At 48.1% G+C, this 20,089-nt stretch overlaps 1 protein-coding gene across 2 annotated transcripts in view, besides 7 other annotated features; it reads right to left on the bottom strand.

The window, feature by feature from the left end:
* PXDC1 (PX domain containing 1) overlaps positions 1 to 830 on the bottom strand; it is a 29,095-nt gene extending 28,265 nt beyond the window's left edge. For both annotated transcript variants that reach the window (XR_007059222.1, NM_183373.4), the window contains exon 1: positions 393 to 830. Coding sequence is in view for 1 of the 2 variants with exons in the window: in NM_183373.4 (NP_899229.2) it covers positions 393 to 648 (256 nt within the window). In the remaining variant the exon portion in view is untranslated. The remainder of the gene's footprint in view (positions 1 to 392) is intronic.
* Positions 54 to 133: a silencer, noted in NCBI's record as "silent region_16855". NCBI's record gives its function as "represses an Ori minimal core promoter by ATAC-STARR-seq in GM12878 lymphoblastoid cells {active_cell/tissue: GM12878}" and the evidence as "EXISTENCE:reporter gene assay evidence [ECO:0000049][PMID:35858748]".
* Positions 884 to 1,123: a silencer, noted in NCBI's record as "silent region_16856". NCBI's record gives its function as "represses an Ori minimal core promoter by ATAC-STARR-seq in GM12878 lymphoblastoid cells {active_cell/tissue: GM12878}" and the evidence as "EXISTENCE:reporter gene assay evidence [ECO:0000049][PMID:35858748]".
* Positions 1,174 to 1,343: a silencer, noted in NCBI's record as "silent region_16857". NCBI's record gives its function as "represses an Ori minimal core promoter by ATAC-STARR-seq in GM12878 lymphoblastoid cells {active_cell/tissue: GM12878}" and the evidence as "EXISTENCE:reporter gene assay evidence [ECO:0000049][PMID:35858748]".
* Positions 4,901 to 5,767: an enhancer, noted in NCBI's record as "NANOG hESC enhancer chr6:3756018-3756884 (GRCh37/hg19 assembly coordinates)". NCBI's record gives its function as "activates a minimal SCP1, AML or CMV promoter by ChIP-STARR-seq in naive H9 embryonic stem cells {active_cell/tissue: H9 hESC(naive)}" and the evidence as "EXISTENCE:reporter gene assay evidence [ECO:0000049][PMID:30033119]".
* Positions 5,930 to 6,895: an enhancer, noted in NCBI's record as "H3K27ac-H3K4me1 hESC enhancer chr6:3757047-3758012 (GRCh37/hg19 assembly coordinates)". NCBI's record gives its function as "activates a minimal SCP1, AML or CMV promoter by ChIP-STARR-seq in primed H9 embryonic stem cells {active_cell/tissue: H9 hESC(primed)}" and the evidence as "EXISTENCE:reporter gene assay evidence [ECO:0000049][PMID:30033119]".
* Positions 9,970 to 10,483: an enhancer, noted in NCBI's record as "H3K27ac-H3K4me1 hESC enhancer chr6:3761087-3761600 (GRCh37/hg19 assembly coordinates)". NCBI's record gives its function as "activates a minimal SCP1, AML or CMV promoter by ChIP-STARR-seq in primed H9 embryonic stem cells {active_cell/tissue: H9 hESC(primed)}" and the evidence as "EXISTENCE:reporter gene assay evidence [ECO:0000049][PMID:30033119]".
* Positions 19,232 to 19,526: a silencer, noted in NCBI's record as "tiled region #8997; K562 Repressive non-DNase unmatched - State 21:Repr". NCBI's record gives its function as "represses a minimal TATA promoter and a strong SV40 promoter by Sharpr-MPRA in K562 cells {active_cell/tissue: K562}" and the evidence as "EXISTENCE:reporter gene assay evidence [ECO:0000049][PMID:27701403]".

Raw genomic sequence — 20,089 nt, forward strand, 5'->3', positions numbered from 1 at the left:
GTGCGCCCGCCCGCCGGCCCTCGGGAGGTACCGGGCAGGGGGCTAGGGCCGGGCCGACCCTGTGAGCCGCTCAGCCCCGGGCGCCCCCGCCCTCCTCGGAAGTGACTCGTCCTCAGGGAGAGTCCGGCGCCCGCCCTGCCGGCCTCGGCCCCTTTCCCGCCCCATTTGGCTCCTCCGCCGGGGGCGCCCCCAGGCTGGGCAGGCTGGCTCCCCGTCCCCCTAACCCCGCCGCCCGGGCACCCCTCGTCTGCGGGCGCGGGGTCCAAGTGTCCCCTGTCCAGGGCGGGCAGAAAGGAGAAGTCGCAATCTCGGTTGAAGTCTCTTCCCCGCCTCCTTCGTGCACTTCAAGGCTGCCTCGGCCCCGCGCCCCTCCCGCGTCCCCGGCCCCGCACCTTGCCGCAGCGGCCCCTGCGCCAGTTCGGACCGGTCCTCGGGAAAGGCGTCGCGCAGGCGCTGCCACAGGCGGCCCAGGTCCGCCAGGCTGCGGTGCAGGTAGAGCACGCTGCGGTCCGACCACTCCGTGCGGATCTCGAAGAACTCCTCTTCGTCGCCGCGCCGGCTGACGATGAGCCTGCGGATGCCGTTCACCCAGCAGCCGCGCACGAACATGTTCACGAGCGACGTGCCCTCAAACACCGCCGAGGCCATGTCGCACGCATGCCCCCGCCAAGGGCTCCCCAGCCCCGCCGCCCGCCCGCCCGCAGGAGGCGCGCCCCGGCCGGGGTCGTCCCGGGTCTGTCCGTGGCCGGGGTCGTCCGGGGTCGGCCCGTCACTCCAAGGAGGCTGCGTATGGCCCGCGTTCGGGGCAGCGGGGCGGCGCGGCGGCGAGTGGCTCGGGCCGGCCGGGCGCGGCTTTATAAGGCGCTTCCCATCGCGGGCGGCGCGGTAGTCGACGTCGAGGTTAGGCCGCGTCCGCCTCCCGCCCGCCTCCCGCGGAACGGGCGCCGCGGGCCGCTCTGGAAAGGAAGAGGTCCGGCTGGCCGCGCCCCCGCCGCCTCCGCAGAGACCGCGCTGCCGCGGCCACGAGAACCCCCGGAGCCGGGAGCCGGGCCGAGTCCCAAGCGCTCGCCCCCGCCTCGCGCCCCCCGCGCCTCCTCCCTCGCGGCCCCGGAGCCGCAGGTCGGTGACTGGACCAGCCGGGAAGGGAGGCGGGGCGGGCCCTGCTTGCCAGGCGCTCGGCGCAGACTTTTTTCTCTTTCCGTTTCGCGATCCTCGGGACCTCCCAGGGCTAGGAGCTGCGCGCCCCACCCGGCCCGCGAGGGGATGGCAACTACCCGGGGTCCGGAGGCGGGGCTGCGAGTGTCGGGGCGGGGGGCGCGGGCCGGGTCGAGCACCGCCCCGACGAGGGCCCAGGCCAGTCCGGCCCGCCCCGGGTTCCCTCCGTGCCTCAGGTCCCCTCCGTGCCCCGCGTCCTCCCGCGCATTCCGGTCATGCCTCAGCCGCGCCAAGGCCTGGGACACGGCCGGACAGACCGCGGGGCAGCCCTCGGAGAAGTGGGAAGAGGGGAGAAAACAGTGGCGAAAAGAAGGTCTCCTGGGAAGGAGCGCCCTGGGAAGCTGGACGCGGTGGGTGCTCTTGAGGGGCCTCAGGAGTGGACTTGGGGAAACCGCCCGCCCTGAAAACTGACTCAGCGGCGCGTTACTGAGGCCGTTCCTAGTTGGAAGAGAATTAATAGCACTTGTTTGAGAATTACAAGTTAGTTCCAGAAATGAATCGAGTGACCTCACAGCCCGTAGGCAGGGGTGGGAGAGCCAGGGTGAGCCCCTCACCTCACCCCGCCCCCGCCCCGGCAGCGCTCTGGAAAGCCTCAAAGCCCAGCGCTGCGCGGAAATGTTAGAGGCCCAAGGCAGGTGGCCTGTCTGGACTCAGACCCGACCCAGATGTCCCCCCAGGTCCCTACCACTCAGTCCCACCTGCCTCGACTCAGTCCCGACCCAGATGACCACCCCCCCCCCGCCCCCACCACGACCAACTTTTATTCCGACTGCGCCAGTGACTTGCAGATAGCATAGCTTCAAATTTCCTCACCTGGTCTGGGGCGGTGAACAGGTCAAGATGGAGAGTGTCAAGAGAGACTTTTGCTTTGTCTATGATGTTTTTATATACACTTGCTAATTAAATGAACGCATATGTTTCCTGTGTAATTTTGTATAGGGGAATAGGGGCCGTGGGAACTGGAAGTAAACAGCCAGTGTGCCAGCAGCTCTTGACTCTAGGTGGTGGGAATAAGTGCCGTTGTAACCACAGTACCAGCCCAAACGGGGCTTACTCTGTTTGTAACAATGTTGAGTTACCTTGCAGGTATAACAGAGCCAAAAACTCTTAAGTCACAAAGCCCAGGCATGCACCATAGAAAAAGATTTGATCTCTAACAAACATCCAGAACCAACTATTCGTCTCCTTGGAACGAAGAAGACTGGGACATGACTGGAACCCGAACATTCGAACTCTCAGAAGGGAAGGGTCTCTTGGCCCAGAAGATAGGGGCTAAAATCCACCTCAACATACCGTACCATAAATGGCCAAATTTGAAGGCCTTCAAACAGATCCTGCCCAGCCAACATTTCTAAGTCCTTTCCTTTGCCCTCTGCTTCCTTAGAACTTGCCCCAGACCCCAAATCAGGGAGGAAGATTTGAACCTGCCTCCTGTCTCCTTGCTGGCTGGTCTTGCAATAAAGTCTTTCTTTTCTCAAAGGCAGTACCATGGTATTGCTTCCGTGTACATTGAGCAGTGAGCCTGAGGCAGGAAAATAGGGTCAGGAGGCAGGGAACATAAGGCCAATTCACACTTCGGCTGTAACAGGAAATATCCACTCCATAGGGCGTATGCTGTAAGTGACTTTGTAACTTTACTTCATCCTCTGCATTTACGTAGAGGGTAAGTGAAGTAAACAATGGAATCATCTAGGGGATATTTAAACTTCCAAAAATTCTGTAACGGGGCCTTTGAGCCCCTATGTTCGGGCCGCTCCCACACTGTGGAATGTAATTTCGTTTTCAATAAATCCCTTCATTCCTTCCTTGCTTTGTTTGTGCGTTTTGTCCAATTCTTTGTTCAAGATGCCAAGAACCTGGACATCCTCCACCGGTGACAAGCCCATTTGCTTAATAAGATTATTATTTTCTTCTCAGTATTTTTCTGTTACTTATTTTCTGAAAGTGCCAGGAAGAGGAGGGCAGGCAGGACCACCCCAAAACAGGCCACCTGTGGTATCATGGTGACCTCTAACCCCAGCCCCCAAGAATATGAAAGTGATGACGACTCTTATGAAGTGTTGGATTTAACTGAGTATGCAAGAAGACATCAGCGGTGGAATTGAGTGTTTGGCCCCAGTTGGAGACCTATGGTGTTACAGAGAAATACTCAGTAGCTACCCAGATTGGAATGTGTGGCGTGACAGGCTGGTATGCAGGATTTTTGCTCCCAAAAGTTGGGAAGGTTGCAGCAACTGCAGTGACTTCCAGATTGACTGGAAGAGAATTGAAAGAGACGTACATAAAGCAAAAAGACATACTAAGGCCCGGGCGTGGTGGCTCATGTCTGTAATCCCAGCACTTTGGGAGGCCGAGGCGTGTGGATCACCAAGTCAGGAGATCGAGACCATCCTGGCCAGCATGGTGAAACTCCATCTCTACTGAAACTACAAAAATTAGCTGGGCGTGGTGGTGGGCGCCTGTAATCCCAGCTACTTGGGAGGCTGAGGCAGGCGAATCGCTTGAACCCAGGAGGCAGAAGTTGCAATGAGCCGAGATCACGCCACTGCAATCCAGCCTGATGACAGAGCAAGACTGCATCTCAAAAAAGAAAAAAAAAAAAAAAGACAGACTAAGAAATGAGCAAATAAAGCAGCACCTGAAATCAACAATACAGTTGAAGAAGCAACTGACTTTATCAAACAGAACATTGTGATATCCACTGAATTTGTGGGAGGCTTTTTGCTAAGACTTGCATTTTAAAGACATGAATGGTCTACCATAGTAGACAGCTATGAGAAGTGGCGGCAACACAGTGTCCTCTCTCAACAGTACATGCTGCCGGATCTCAGAAAAACAACTAGCTGGACAATACTGAACTCACAACTTAGCATTTTGCCATCTGGAGCCTGGCAAACTGGTATTTGCTGTAAAACAACTTATGTGGTATGTGAACAGTAGTAGTTCTGAGCAAAACGTGGCTTTTATCATTTAAAAAAAAATGCTTCTCTTTAGAATTAGCTTATAAAATATCACCATTGGTTGTAGATATGGAGAGAAAAGAAACTGCTACATTTATTGCCTGGTGAAATATTAATCCCTTTTCATTTAAATAAGATGTTCTGGCTTGGCGCGGTGGCTCACACCTGTAATCCCAACACTTTGGGAGGCCAAGGAGGGAGAATCACCTGAGGTCAGGAGTTCAAAATCAGCCTGGCCAACATGGTGAAACCCTGTCTCTACTAAAAATACAAAACAATGAGCTGAGCGTGGTGGAGGGTGCCTGTAATCCCAGCTACTCAGGAGGCTAAGGCACAAGAATCACTTGAACCCAGGAGTCAGAGGTTGCAATGAGCTGAGGTTGCGCCACTGCACTCCAGCCTGGGTGACAGAGTGAGACGCTGTCTCAATAAATAAATAAGATGTTCTTCATTGTGGTTTACAGTATAATGACAATAATTTTAAAATCTGTATTATAGCTTCAATATTAGGACTGACTTTTTTTTAAAGATATGTCTGCAATAAATTGAAGAACTGCAATGCCCTTTTGTGGAAAGCTTTAGAAATGATATAATTATTAAAGATATTAAATAGACAAAAAATAATTTTCTAATAATGATGATAATAAAAGAATCTCTGAAGTGAGTATTAGAACTTCTGACTACTTCTAACTATTGGTCCTACCCAGCCACTGATGAACTCCAATCATATAGTCTCAAACTGCTCACTTGATGTTTCTTTGCCTCCATTTGCCTTTCCGTGAAATGGGAATTTAAAACAAAAATTAAAAAGCCCACGACTGTTGTGAGGACAAATAAAATGGTACATGGCTGAAAGTGTGCAGTAAACACCTTTGAGGACTTGTGTTATATAAATGTCAGTAACAGATACAGAGGAGACGGAGTGGTTTCGGGTTGTAAATCCAGCTGATGAGCTAGTTCATTGCGGGAGGCTACATAATAGAATGTGCAAATGGAGAACAAAGAGGAGCTCTCTGGGTCACCTGCCCATCTTCCAAGCCTGGTTTAGAATTACAAAGGTGTAGCCAAGGAGGAGTCCTGTTGTAGGTAAGAGCTTTGGAAACCAGATACTTCAATCCGATTAATAAGAGTAAATAATGAGAATAAAAGACTTCATGAAACTCAAGGCCTTTTCTTCTGAGGGGGTGTTGGGGTGTCCTGTTTATTTTTCTTCGGTGGTAGTTTTGTTTGGATTTAGCTTTTTTTTAAGTTCTATGTGTTCTCCCCGGCCCTCAAAGTGAACAGCAAGACAATGCAAAACCCCGGAGGCATCCCTCCAGGTCTCTGTCTGTGACCTACTCATCTGGCATCTGACAACACAATAGGGAACTCCGTGCTGCTATAGTCTGAAAAATAAGATTAACTTCTAGAGCCAGGAGGTGAGCAGTGAGTGTGGGGTGGGAGAGGAGATGCTCGCCCCAGGGTGCCCTAACCCCACAGGTTCCACTATTTGTAACCCCCTCTCCCACCCCACCTACTTTACCTCCCCCAACCCCTAAAGGGAGAGCTAAAGAGGGTCTTTTATTTTTTTTTTTAATCACTATCTGTGCTTGCAAGGAGTTTGGAGCCTCATGTGATTGACAAGCTGTTTACAAGAGCACCATGATTTGCATGTTAAGTTCTGCCTCAGCAGTTGTTCTAGACACGGTAAGATAGTTCAGTGAGCTTCCCACAAAACTGCAGCTCTTGGCCAGGTGTGGTGGCTCACGCCTGTAATCCCAGCACTTTGGAAGGCTGAGGTGGGCAGCTCACGAGGTCAAGAGATCAAGACCCTCCTGGACAACATAGTAAAACCCCATCTCTACTAAAAATACAAAAGTTACCTGGGTGTGGTGGTGCACACTTGTAGTCCCAGCTACTTGAGAGACTGAGGCAGGAGAATCGCTTGAACCTGGGAGGCGGAGGTTGCAGTGAGCCGAGATCGCACCACTGCGCTCCAGTCCGGCAACAGAGCAAGACTCAGTCTCAAAAAAAAAAAAAAAAAAACTACAGCTCTTCTCTGTTTCTCTTCAAAACAAAAGGGATGGGACCTCAGAGTTGTGAATGTTTGCAGATACAGTAACTGATTTGATCCTCACAACAGCCCAAGGGGACAGGGAGATCCTTGTTCCTTAGATTCAAGAAACAAGGCTCCAAGAGGGTCTGGAAAGGCCCTGGGTGGAGGGCTAGTCCCACACCAAGGCCCTGCTTGGCCGGGCCCCTGCAAATCCACTCACTGGTCCGGCCCGGGTTCCAGCACACTGGTGTTCATGGTCTCCAACGGCCCTGTGCCTTCCCCAGGGACCCGCTCACAGGCCCTCAGTGTGGAATGCCTGCCACCCCTGCCCTGGACTGCTCATTCCCATTCTTCCTTTAGACCAGTGCTTTTCAGACTCTCCAGTGCCTGTGAATTTCCTGGGAACTTGTTACCAAGTAAATTCTGATTCAGGAGGCCTGGGTGGGGCCTGAGATTCTGCGTTTCTGCCGGGCTGCCAGAGCTCATGACCATCTGCCGGCCACTCTGAGCAGCAAGGCAGATGCTAGCGTAGGCCTTGCTTGGTCTGGGATGTGTCAGGAGACACAATTATACCGTCTCCTGGTGCCCTGCATTGGTTCATAATTGTAATGAGTTTGTTATGTTTTCCTGGCTGCGGTGTAATCGCTAGGAGGGCAGGGACTAGACAACTGTCTCATTCCTAACCGTATTTCCAGTGCCTAGTACAGTGCCTGACACATGGCAAATGCTCACTAAATATTTATTAAATGGGCAAATGAGTGAAAGACGAGAGCCAGCCAACACTGGTCTTCCCACGGGAACAATGCCGTCCCTTGATCTTGTGAAGGGACAGTAATGGAACATTAGGGAAAATTTCACAACCCATCATCAAATCCAGATTTTACTGGAGGCCCATGTTGAGAGGTGACAGCATGCTGGCGGCCCTCGCAAGCTCTCGGTGCCTCCTCGGCCTGGGCGCCCATTATGGCCGCGCTTGGGGGGCCCTTCAGCCCGCCGCTGCACCGTGGGGGCCCCTTCTCTGGGCCAGCCGAGACCAGAGCCGGCTCCCTCGGCTTGCGGGGGGTTGTAGAGGGAGAGGCGCGGGCAGGAACCGGGACTGTGCGCGGCGCTTGCGGGCCAGCGCGAGTTCCGGGCGGGCGTAGGCTCGGCGGACCCCGCACTCGGAGCGGCCAGCAGGTCCCGCCGGCCGGGCACTGAGGGGCTTAGCACCTGGGCCAGCAGCTGCTGTGCTCAACTTCTCGCCGGGCTTTAGCTGTCTCCCCGCGAGGCAGGGCTCGGGCCCTGCAGCCCGCCATGCCTGAGCCTCCCCCACGCCGTGGGCTCCTGCACTGCCCCAGCCTCCCCGACGAGCGCCGCGCCCTGCTCTACGGCGCCCAGTCCCATCGACCACCCAAGGGCTGACAAGTGTGGGCACACAGGCGCGGGACTGGCAGGCAGCTCCACCTGCGGCCCAGATGCGAGATCCACTGGGTGAAGCCAGCTGGGCTCCTGAGTCTGGTGCGGACTTGGAGAACCTTTATGTCTAGTTAAGGGATTGTAAATACACCAATCGGCACTCTGTATCTAGCTCAAGGTTTGTAAACACACCAATCAGCACCCTGTGTCTAGCTCAGGGTTTGTGAATGCACCAATCAACACTCTGTGTCTAGCTAATCTAGTGGGGACATGGAGAACTTTTTGTGTCCACACTCTGTATCTAGCTAATCTAGTGGGGACGTGGAGAACCTTTGTGTCTAGCTCAGGGGTTGTAAAGGCACCAATCAGCACCCTGTCAAAAAGGACCTCAGCTCTGTAAAACAGACCAATCGGCTTTCCATAAAATGGACCAAACAGCAGGGATGTGGGTGGGGCCAGATAAGAGAATAAAAGCAGGCTGCTCCGGTGTCCTATCCACTCTGTGGAAGCTTTGTTCTTTTGGTGTTTGTAATCAGTCTTGGTGCTGCACACTCTTTGGGTCCATGCCGTCTTTATGAGCTGTAACACTCACCGTGAAGGTCTGCAGCTTCACTCCTGAAGCCGGTGACACCATGAACCCATCGGGAGGAACGAACAACTCCAGATGCACCGCCTTCTAGAGCTGTAACACACTCACTGCCAAGGTTTGTAGTTTCACTTCTAAAGCCAGTGAGACCACGAACCCACCAAAAGGAATAAACTCCAGACATGCTGTCTTTAAGAACTATGAATGCCACCATGAGGGTCTGTGGCTTCATTCTTTAAGTCTGTGAGACCAAGAACCCACCAATTCCAGACACTATATCCTAGGCCTAAAATCATCTTAAAAAAAAACCATCTTCAAATGGGTCATAGTAAAATGTTCATGGTGATCATCTCTCAAGAATAGGATTACTGACTTTGTGTACTTCCGTGTTTTCCAAATTTAATGCAATGAACAAGCACTAGTGCAGTAATTTGAAAATTCATCTAAGCAAGTTCTCTGAATTATCTCCATGGTCACTTCTCTTGTCACTGCAGATGAACTATCTGTGTGGCCATGGCCCATCACTTGTACTCACTGTTTGCTTAACTACAAAGAAGGGGGGACTGCAGATGACCACCGAGACACTCAGCAATGTGAATTCTCTATGAATGTTTTTATCTGTATTCCTTCTCAGCCTTGCTACTCCAAAGCACTCCCAGCCTCATTCTTGACTTTCTGATTTCTGCAAGTTCTTGCCAATATGAATTATGTTTCATGCTGCTGGCTTTCTAAGGATGGAATTTGTGACTCAAGGCCTAAGCTGCCACTGAGCTATTTGCTAAACTTAAGTTGCTGTTTTTGAACACCCGGACTCCTAAGAATCAATGAAAACCCAAGATGATCAACATTAGTCACAGAACCAAATAATCCTATGGACTGACGGAGGGTGGGTCGCTGGAGTTTTATGCTTTTCACATACTGGCATTCCAGTAAACATTCTTAAATACGTAAGCTGTGAGGTTATTCAGCAAACAGCCTATGGACAGTCACAGCATTTGTACCTGCTCCACAACCCACTGTATTTTCCCTAATGGTATGAATGCATTAATACATGAAGTGATTTATTTTAGGAGTTGAAGCTAAACTTTTTTTTTTACATTCATTAGCGCATTGAGACATTCACTCAGCCTACTTTCTATAGGCTATCATGAGCAGAGTTAGTGAGCTTGTTTGTGGAAACTATGTATGAAAAATAAGGAAAGTTTGGAGTTCAAATCTGAAATATTTTGAGATCAACATTGACGAGACATAGTGACATAATGCTTGCCAATAATATTTATTCTGGAACTATTACATTACGACAAACATGGGATCCCTTTGTATGGTTAGATTCAATAAGAGATCATTGTTACACTTTGATTCAGCATTTTCTTATATTCTGAATAGAAATAAAATTTCTGTGCCTGAACTTTGTTCTGACATGTGTTGAGCAGACATCAGTCTTCATATTCACCAGTAATATAAGCCCCAAACAAGTAATATAACTTTAAAATTTTTACCACATGGATAGATAGGGACATAGCTATAAATATGTAGATACAGATGTGTCTTATTTGATTCCACAAAAGATTTAAGATGATTTGCCAAAATATATACAATAAAAAAATGCATAAATTAGAATTTAGATCCTAGGAAAATGTAGAAGAGAAAAAGGAGCAGAGGAAAATTGGTCCATGGATAAGCACACCATCGAAGTGCATTCAGTTACTAAATGTGGGTTGGAAATGGCTTCCCTCCAACGCTTCCTGACTCAAGAGTTAAACTCCAAAACCTTCGCCTGACCTGCAAGGCCTCTACATGGCCTACGCCTGACGCCGTCCCCCCAGTCTTCCATCTCATCCCTCACATTCCTACATTCTCTAGTCCACTCCTCCTAGATATGCCAGGCGGGTCCTAAGGTCAGGAGTTTGAGACCAGCCTGACCAATATGGTGAAACCCCGTCTCTACTAAAAATACAAAAATTAGCTGGCCATGGTGGCGGGCGCCTATAGTCCCAGCTACTCAGGAGGCTGAGACAGGAGAATCGCTTGAACTCAGAGGGGTCAGACGTTGCAGTGAGCCAAGATCATGCCACTGCACTCCAGCATGGGTGACAGAGCCAGCCTGAAACTCTGCCCTGCGTCCTTCTGAGAAGTGACAGTGTACCGGCATGGCAGCCCTCACAGCCCTCGCTCGCTCTTGGCGCCTCCTCGGCCTTGGCACCCACTCTGGCCGCGCTTGAGGAGCCCTTCAGCCCGCCGCTGCACTGTGGAAGCCCATTCCTGGGCTGGCCAAGGCCGGAGCCGGCTCCCTCAGCTTGCGGGGAGGTGTGGAGGGAGAGGCACGGGCGGGAACCGGGGCTGCTCGCGGCGCTTATGGACCGGCGCGAGTTCCGGGTGGGCGTGGACTCGGCGGGCCCCGCACTCGGAGCGACCAGCCGGCCCCGACAGCCCCGCCGGCCCGGGGAAGTGAAGGGCTTAGCACCTGGGCCAGCAGCTGCTGTGCTCGACTTCTCGCTGGGCCTTAGCTGCCTCCCTGCGGAGCAGGGTTCGGGACCTGCAGCCCGCCATGCCTCAGCCTCCCCCACGCCGTGGGCTCCTGCGCCTCCCGAGCCTCCCCGAGGCTCAAAATAGTCAAAATGGACCAATCAGCTCTCTGTAAAACAGACCAGTCGGCTCTCTGTAAAATGGACCAATCAGCAGGATGTGGGTGGGGCCAGATAAGAGAATAAAGGCAGGCTGCCTGAGGCAAGCGCGGCACGCCGCCACGGTCCGTTTTCAGGCTGTGGTAGCTTTGTTTTTTTGCTTTTTGTAATAAATTTTGTTGTTGTTTGTTCTTTGGGTTCACGGTGCATTTGCGAGCTGTAACACTCACCACGAAGGTCCTCAGCTTTCCTCGCTGGTGAGACCATGAACCCCCCCAGAGGGAAAAAACACCCAACACATCAGAATGTCAAGGAACAAACTCCGGCCATGCCGCCTTTGAGGGCCTGTAACACTTAACCGCAAGCACCAGCCACGCCGCCTTTAAGAACTGTAATACTTGCTGTGAGGGTCTGAGGCTTTATGCTTGACGTCAGTGAGGCCAAAAACCCATCAATTCTGGACACACTCCCAAATGGCTTCCTCCCTCATCTAGAATTCACCATCTCCTTGGAGGGGCTCTTGGCCACCCACCTGAAAGAGGTCACTCCCCCCGCCCACCTGCCCGTCATTCTCTTTCCCAACGTGTTTTGTGTTTTTTCAGAGTGAACGTCGTGATAACGTGTATCATGACCTGTATCCTCACTAGCATGTAAATCTTGTGAGGAGGGCCTTTTTCTGTTCTGTAGACTGCTGTGTCCTGAGAGGAGCAAATGGTGAAGTTTGTGTTCTCTGGCTAGGGGCAGTGCAGGTATCCTGTCTTGTTGGTTGAGGGCGTATCCACGTGCTTTTTTGTTTGTTTTTGAGACGGAGTCTCGCTCTGTCTCCCGGGCTGGAGTGCTGTGGTGCGATCTCGGCTCACTGCAACCTCCGCCTCCCGGGTTCGAGGAATTCTCCTGTCTCAGCCTCGCCAGTAGCTGGGACTATAGGCGCTGGCCACCATGCCCAGCTAATTTTTGTATTGTTCAGGCTGGTCTCAAAGTGCTGACCTCAGGTGATCAGCCTGCCAAAGTGCTGGGATTACAGGTGTGAGCCACCGCATCCGGCCTCCACGTGCTTTTAAAAGTGGCAACTGAGCACTCGGATTGTAGAATGGACATCCTTTCACGTAAAAATTCTTGTCTGAGTCTGATAATCCTCACAACAACATCTGAGGAACATCTTATGTCTGTCTGGTCATGGGATGAAGAGAATCTTCAACTGAAATTTCCAGTAGACGGGGAGCTGTTCTAATGCATGAACAGCAGGACATCAAGACTCCAACATCGTCTTCCGTAAGGTTGCTCCACGGTGATCTGGGCTGAGAAAATTTCAAGGTAACATTTGCTAATTGTTGGCTATATGCCTATACATATAGACAGTTCACCAACGTAGATTTCTAATGATCCTGCCAGGTAAACTTTGTTCTCAAATAAAACGCCTCCAAGTAACTGATTTTAGAAGTGCATTTACCAACATGGTAATTTCAGTATTAGAATAGCCTCTCAAGTCCTGCTTTCTGACAACAGAGTGAAGCCAAGTGTCAGTGAAGTCACTCCTAGTACATAAAAATGAAACTATATAATAAGCATAGAGAATAAGTCTTAGACCACTGGGAAAACTTAAATATAAACAGGATACAAATGATATTTCAGAAGTTGTGTTTATTTTCTTAAGTACAATAATGGTATTTTGTAATGGAAGTGTTCTTGTTTTTAGGCTTTGTTTGCTGAAGTTCTCAGTAATGAAGTGTGATGTTAAAACTGTCTTTCAACTGGCTTCACAATAAATAAATAAATAATTAAGTGGGTAAATCTAGGAAGCATATATAGCAAAACGTGAATAATTGTATCTAAGAGAAAGGATTTAGGCCTTTATTATACTATTCTGTCAACTTTTCTGAATATTTGAAAATTTTCCCAAGTAAAAGTTGGAGAGGGATAATATTTATATTTCTACTCCTTTTAATAAAGATAATCTAAACATGGTTTTAAGAACCTGTTGTCTGCCTTGAGAAACCATTTATTTCTGCTGACATTCTCACAGTGATATTAAGGCTCAGATACTATTTAAACATTTGTGGCTATGATTTTTTTATCAAGCACATTAAAATTAGTCCCAAACTAGTTATTATTCACTGAGTCGAAGGTCAAGGAAAAGAACCAAAATTAATCAACACTGTGTCTTGTATGTAATACAAGTTCATAGAGCCATGAACTTGTAATATAGCTTCATGGAAGTATCCACAGGGTGTTGACGAGTGTGGCAGCAGCTGTTTCTAAAGCCTCCTTATTCCTGAGACGCCCTGGCTTGTTGCATGCCCCTCACCAAAACACACAACAGCCCCTCAGCAAATTAAGTCCAGAATATTGCATTTTACACCCAAATGCCCCAAGATAGATATTCAAGTAAACTTAATAGAATCACTTAACATTCTAGCTGAAAAGGACTTGAGTGATCATTTAACTATAGTGAATGTTGGTTGTAAAATCATTAATGCCCTGCAGGGCAGAGATGTTGTCCTGACTGTATTTGCATGAGTAGTATCACATAACATAGAGACTTTCTAGACTGGTACCCAGTCATGATTTTATTCCGTGAGTGTGTGAAAAAGGGATTGAGGTCCTTCAGCCTCATTCAAGGAGTTGTGGAGGGAGTTTTGGGTTGATGTCTACCTCATTTGATATCTGCTCATATCTATGTGTCCAGCATCTTGTTCATTTTTTGCAGCCTCAATCTGATCACACATTCAGCCACTTAGGACTAGGTGAGCAAGAGCTGTTGGTTCAGAAAACCAAGGCTGAATTCCATTGTCCCTTACCTGATGGAGCGGAGAGGCTCCTGGAAAGATATGGTTTGACTAAATTTCTATACATTTATTTGAATGGACATGAATTTGTAGCAGGTGGTATATTTCACCACTTAGCCTTACCCACATAAGGGGGCTTGGATTTGTCCCCAACAGCATTTCTGAATAGCAAGGACCCATGCTGTTTTGGAGGGAATTGTATGCTGTTTTGGAGGGAATTGTATGGTTTGAGCCATTCAAGGCAAGTAACATGAGGCCATTGTGAGGGGGCTCATCGAGGTGTTTGGGCAGAGATGGGCATACCATCCATAGGCAGTGGGCAGGTGGGTGCCCTTGGAGGGCCTGGCCCAATGAGGACAGGACAAGCAGCTTCTCACTGCCTGCAATGCATGATCCACAGACATGGTTTGGCTTCCATGAGGTGGTGGTTGGTGTATGCTGGCTGCCAGTCGGCCCTCTCCATTCCCAAGTCCCTCCCCACCCACCTCCAAAGCCACCCCTGCCACCATGTTCCCTTCCACACCCTCCCAGTGACTTTAGGCTCTTCCTTTCCTCTCTTTCCAGGGTAAACTTCTTGTTTCCTCCCTCCTGTGGCCTTTCTATTAGAATCTCAAGAGCATTATTGGGGGATGGGAAACCCTGGCTTACTTCTCCTTTTATCACTGACACAATTTTAATTCTTCTTGAAGGTTAGTCTAAGGAAGTGGGGGAAAATTTACATCGAGATGATGTTTGAAGATACCTTACTACAAGCCAAGAGAACATTAGAGTCCCACGTCACCCTTCTGTCTGAAACAAATAATCACGTCCTGATTCCCTTCTGGCTTTTGTGTGTATTTATATGTTCACCCAGGTTTGCTCAATGCAGGTATGGGCATTTCAGTGAAAGCCTCTATTTTACCCTTCTCTCCTTCTCTCTAGTTGGCCAGAATATTTGCTTCCAAGTGCAGCCCAAATTACTTACCTTAATTGTCTGCACCTCCCAAGTATTTCAGCTAATTGTCGAATTGTTGCTACTCATTGTCTTGTGACTGTGTATACCTCACCCACGGGGCTTAAATTCTGCCCAAGCAAAAAGGGCTTGGTGAACTGAAACCAGAAAAAAAGTTCAAGGCAATGGAACAAATGCCAATGTCTTGGTTCAAGGAGCGACTTTTACAGAATTACGTGCATTCGTACCAGTTGTTATGATGAATTGTTCTGACACTCATCCAGACAGAAAAATAATTGAAGTTCCTTTCCCAGGGGTTCTCTAACTCAAACACTCAAAACGACCTGACCTCAGCCCAGAGCAGAAGTCACAAGGCCAAGATTCAAAAAATAAGTAAATACATTTATAAGGAGATATAAACTGCTTTCCGAAAACATCCAATTTGGGTCAATGATTGATGAAGAACTAAGAATAACTGGAACATTTGCTTTTCCTTATTTTTAAAATAATTAAAGTTACTTATAATGCTTATATAGACCTCTGAGCAAGGAGTGTGTGTGTGTGTGTGTGTGTATGTGTATGTGTAAGTTTATGCTTGAAGATCTTTGTTGCTACTCCTACCCCCATCCCCCTGTATATATTCTAGAAACCAGTGCTAGTTCTGATGACCAACTTTGGGCTAAACCACAGCTATACTTTGGAAGCTATGCAATCGCAGACTACTCTGCAGATTTTGCTTTTTGTTAATAACCTATTTTAAAGTTCAGCAGACTGGCATCTCTTTTGATGCTGATTATACTCCTTCTAAAACTCCACTCCAAGTTCAGCGTCAGCAAATCCCAGTCTGACAGAAAGTAAGATTGTTTTCTCAGTTTGCCAGTACACTGCATTTCAGAGACAGGCTCAACCCCAAAGTCGCTGCTGTGGCAGAGCTCATGCCGCGCCTTTTGGACCACAGTGACAGATGGTTTTGCTTAAAGACAATCCCTCTGAGATAGCTCGTCTGCCCAGGCGGCTGTGTGGGCATGCTTCGGGCATGTAGCCAGCGCTCACATGCTATCCACATATTTCACATCCATAACCACACCCGCATATAGTTTAAACACTGTCTGGTCTTCAGAGGCCTTTATGTAACTTTATATTCAATGAAAATAGCTCTTGGTGATTAATTTTGCTGCTTTTGGCCCCTTTCAGGGAAACAAGTTTGACACTTAGTCTGTATTTTTCAAAGCGAGAGAAAATGGAATTGAAAAGAGTGTTTTCTAATGAATTAATTCCAGTGATGTTGAGTCCAACATGAGAAGAAATGTAATTCCTCCTGGAATGCAACTGCACACCTACTGCTCAATGATGTATAATAACTATTTTATTCCAAAAAGGATTTGAAGTGGCTTCCAAAAAATGAGTGACATTAATAGCTAAGGATATTGGGGAGAAACTGGGCATAGCCGATGGATTTCACTTGCCTGTGGCCGTGGCTGTTCATTTTCGTTCATGAGGTGTAAGAAATGAGGAAGGGTGGCTGACCAGGGGACAACGACACCACATCTGGGAATACCCTCCTTCAAATCAGAGACTTACAGGAAAACGGACAGGCCGGCGCACATTATTCAGGCCATTCTCAAATGTTTAATAACTGTTTCATATCAATATCAAGTTAAGCACATTTTAGTAAGGTGGGTGAACATGTTTGCCCATATCCCAAATTATCCCAGACTCTCCACTGTACAGGAAGCGGACAGTGTCTTCCACCAACGCCTGCTTCACAAGGTTTATTCCTTAATAGCCAGACTTGGCCTCTTTTCTTAGCTCTGAGCTGTGAGGCACAGTCAGTGTTTTCAAACAAAAGGTATTTCCAGGAAATCTTCTGTCTGAGGAAGGACGAACACACAGTTCTCTTAGTTGGGGAGCGTGGGAAGGAGGGAAGCAAAGGTGTGGGGGACTTTGGTATTCTCTCTTCTTAACCCAGTACTTGGAGGGTATTCTCCCAGGCCGTTCAGTGGAACAACAAAATGGCTGGAAAACAACACTTTTAAAAAGTTTCTTCCTGGGCACGGTGGCTCATGCCTGTAATCCCAGCACTTTGGGAGGATGAGGCGGGTGGATCACGAGGTCAGGAGTTCGAGACCAGCCTGGCTAACGTGGTGAAACCCCCTCTCTACTAAAAATACAAAAATTAGCCAGACGTGGTGGTGCACACCTGTAATCCTAGCTACTCAGGAGGCTGAGGCAGGACAATTGCTTGAACCAGGGAGGCAGAGGTTGCAGTGAGCTGAGATTGCGCCACTGCATTCCAGCCTGGGAGACAGAGCAAGAGTCTGCCTCAGGAAAAAAAAAAAGTTTCTATGACAACATGTTATGAATGAGCACACTTCCTAAGGAAATGAAACTCCTAAATGCATCAGTAACTTTATTGGGGATCTGGAAGTTGTCTTTTTTTTTCAGTTTGCTAATTATAAATCCAGACGCAAAACCTATGACTTTACCCAATTAAGCAGTTTTTTCACATATTTTTTTCATTTTTTTAAAAATATATTGATCCAACTGTAATAAACATATATTCTGTAACTGTAATATGTTATTTCCCTGCAAATGTTCCTCTTTATCCACATTTTTCCATCCTTTCACCACTCATTCCTTCAACATATTTTTATTACCAGCTAGCAAATAGAGTAAGAACAGCATCAATATGAGCAGAGAATTCTTCTATACTCTGTTTCTTAACTAAAGATAAACAAAGGCCAGGCGCTGTGGCTCACACCTATAATCCCAGCACTTTGGGAAGCTGAGGCAGGCAAATCGCCTGAGGTCAGGAGCTCAAGACCAGCCTGGCCAACATGGTAAAACCCTGTCTCTACTAAAAATACAAAAATTAGCCAAATGTGGTGACAGACGCCTATAATCCCAGCTACTCGGGAGGCTGAGGCAGGAGAATTGCTTGAACCTGGGAGGCGGAGGTTGCAGTGAGCCAAGATCACGCCACTGCACTCCAGCCTGGGCGACAGAGCGAGACTCCATCTCAAAAAAAAAAAAAAAAAAAAAAAAAAAGATAAGCAAGTACTCTGTGCATTGGGAAGTAACTAAGTGGTCAGGGTTTCTATTATCTTTTTGAAATTTAGATTTGTTAGCCTAAGAGATCATGAATCATCAGGCTCTTGGCAACTGTGGGAAAGGAAAGATGATATTCTAGAAACTGATCATCTGGTAATCGCTGATAAGTTCACACATCAATATTTAATTCCACCACAGTTTTGTTTTCAAAGTAGAAGAAGTTTGTATAGGTTGGTGCAAAAGTAATTGCGGTTTTTGCCATTATTTTAGTGGTATATTGTCAGCAATCACCACTGCATCCCTGACTGAGATCAATGTGAGCTCTGCACAGTGTCTCTAACACTCACTAGGTGGCCATGGTTTCTATCCCTTCTAGAGAATGCTACCTGGAAAATAAGGTTTGGGGTCACACCCAGACATCAGACCATTTGTTACTTTCCCCATTTTCTCACCCTTTTTTTTTTAAATTTTTTAAATTATACTTTAAGTTTTAGGGTACATGTGCACAACGTGCAGGTTAGTTACATGTGTAGACATGTGCCATGTTGGTGTGCTGCACCCAGTAACTCGTCATTTAACATTAGGTATTTCTCCTAATGCTCTCCCTCCCCCATTCCCCCGCCCCAAAACAGGCCCCGGTGTGTGATGTTCCCCCTCCTGCATCCATGTGTTCTCATTGTTCAATTCCCACCTATGAGTGAGAACATGCGGTGTTTGGATTTTTGTCCTTGCGATAGTTTGCTGAGAATCTCACCCCCCCTTTTTTTTTTTTTTTGAGACAGTCTTGCTCTGTCGCCCAGGCTGGTGTGCAGTGGCGCCATCTCAGCTCACTGCAACCTCCACCTTCCAGGTTCAAGTGATTCTCATGCCTCAGCCTCCAAAGTAGCTGGGATCACAGTCATGCACCACCACGCCTGGCTAATTTTTGTATTTTTAACAGAGACAGCGTTTCACCATGTTGGCCAGGCTGGCCTCAAACTCCCAACCTCCAGTGATCCATCCGCCTCAGCCTCGGAAATTGCTGGGATTACAACCGTGAGCTACCGCGCCCAGCCTCACCCATTTAAAGGGAAACTTTCTTCATGGTAACGAGCTCACTTACAGATTGAGTTCATAATATTAAAAAACATTTTTTTAGAGATGACATCTCCCTGTGTTGCCCAGACTGGAGTGCAATGGCTATTTCCAGACATGTTGATGGTGCACTGTGGCCTCAAACAATCCTCCCTCCTCAGCCTCCTGAGTAACTGGGACGACAGACTCGCACCACCAAGCCCAGGTGAGTTCACGATTTGAAAGGCACTGGTTTTAGACCTTTCTAGTAAATTTTAAATGGCACATTGGATTTCTCATAGCAGATGACTCATGTTCTTCTTATGAAATTCGCTTACACAATTCTCATGCTGGATTTTAGTCAGAATATAGACTAGAGAGAAAAAATCATCAAGGAGACAGAACCCATGGATATGTAACTTTATGAACAGGAATGTCCCAAACTCCCGATTTCATTCTTCTGACACAAAGAATTACCACCATGCGGCATACTTCTGCTGTAGGAATTGCTGCTGGAATATACTAATCATTTTAAGCAGTGAAGAGCATTGCGTCTGAAAGGCAAGTAGAGATACGGAAACACAATCAAGTCTAACAATAGATTGAGAAGAACCATGCCTAACGACAAGGGATAAAGATGAAAACCACCGTTTCATTCTTTCTCCTCCTTTTGACTTTATTGCTGCAGCTCAGTTTGCATCTTGAGCACCCTCGTTGCCCAGCAGCCCGGCGGGGTTCATTTGCATGTGTCTTCCCAGGTCTTCCCTTCAACCTCTGCAAAGCCAGCCAGGCGGAGAGGGGGCAGAGGCGTCCTTGGAGGGGAGCAATTCAGAAACAGCCACATCTTTTCTTTAAGGAAAAGGGAGGTCTCAAGATTACTTTCTATTTTTCATCACTTCTCTAATATATGCACACTGTATTTGCATAACATCTATTTGCACTGGGAGCCCATCCCTGGCTTCCTGAAAGATACAGGAGGGCATTTGAATATATATTTTATTCCCTGTGATGTCTCAGAGTTGAGCCTCTAATCTCATTACCAGCTTGCATGCTTCCAGTGAGTTATTCTATGGTCTTTAGAATTGTGCCTCCAATTTGTAAGCCTAGCTAACAATTACATTTTCATCGTGGAAAGATGTTAAAGATTGCTTTCAGTGAGAATTAAATCAAAGATCTCAGCATGTGCAGCTCCCAACCCCCAACCTCACTTCTTTGCGCACTTAATAGAGGTTGGCAACATAAAACTCCCTTTCTCTAGAACATCATCTTCACACAGAAAATCCTGCAGAAACTATGTTAAAAACACAGCATTGTCTAGTCTTATTCACTAAATGCTCCAACTTGACCACCTCAAAAAAAATAATAATTTCCAGGCTTGGAGAGACTGTTTAATTATTGAAGGACCAGCCTAGTGAAATGACATGGGATCCCAGACTGGTGGGATTTATGAAGA

This window comes from Homo sapiens, chromosome 6 (assembly GCF_000001405.40).
Source record: "Homo sapiens chromosome 6, GRCh38.p14 Primary Assembly".
NCBI classification, from domain to species: Eukaryota; Metazoa; Chordata; class Mammalia; order Primates; family Hominidae; genus Homo; species Homo sapiens.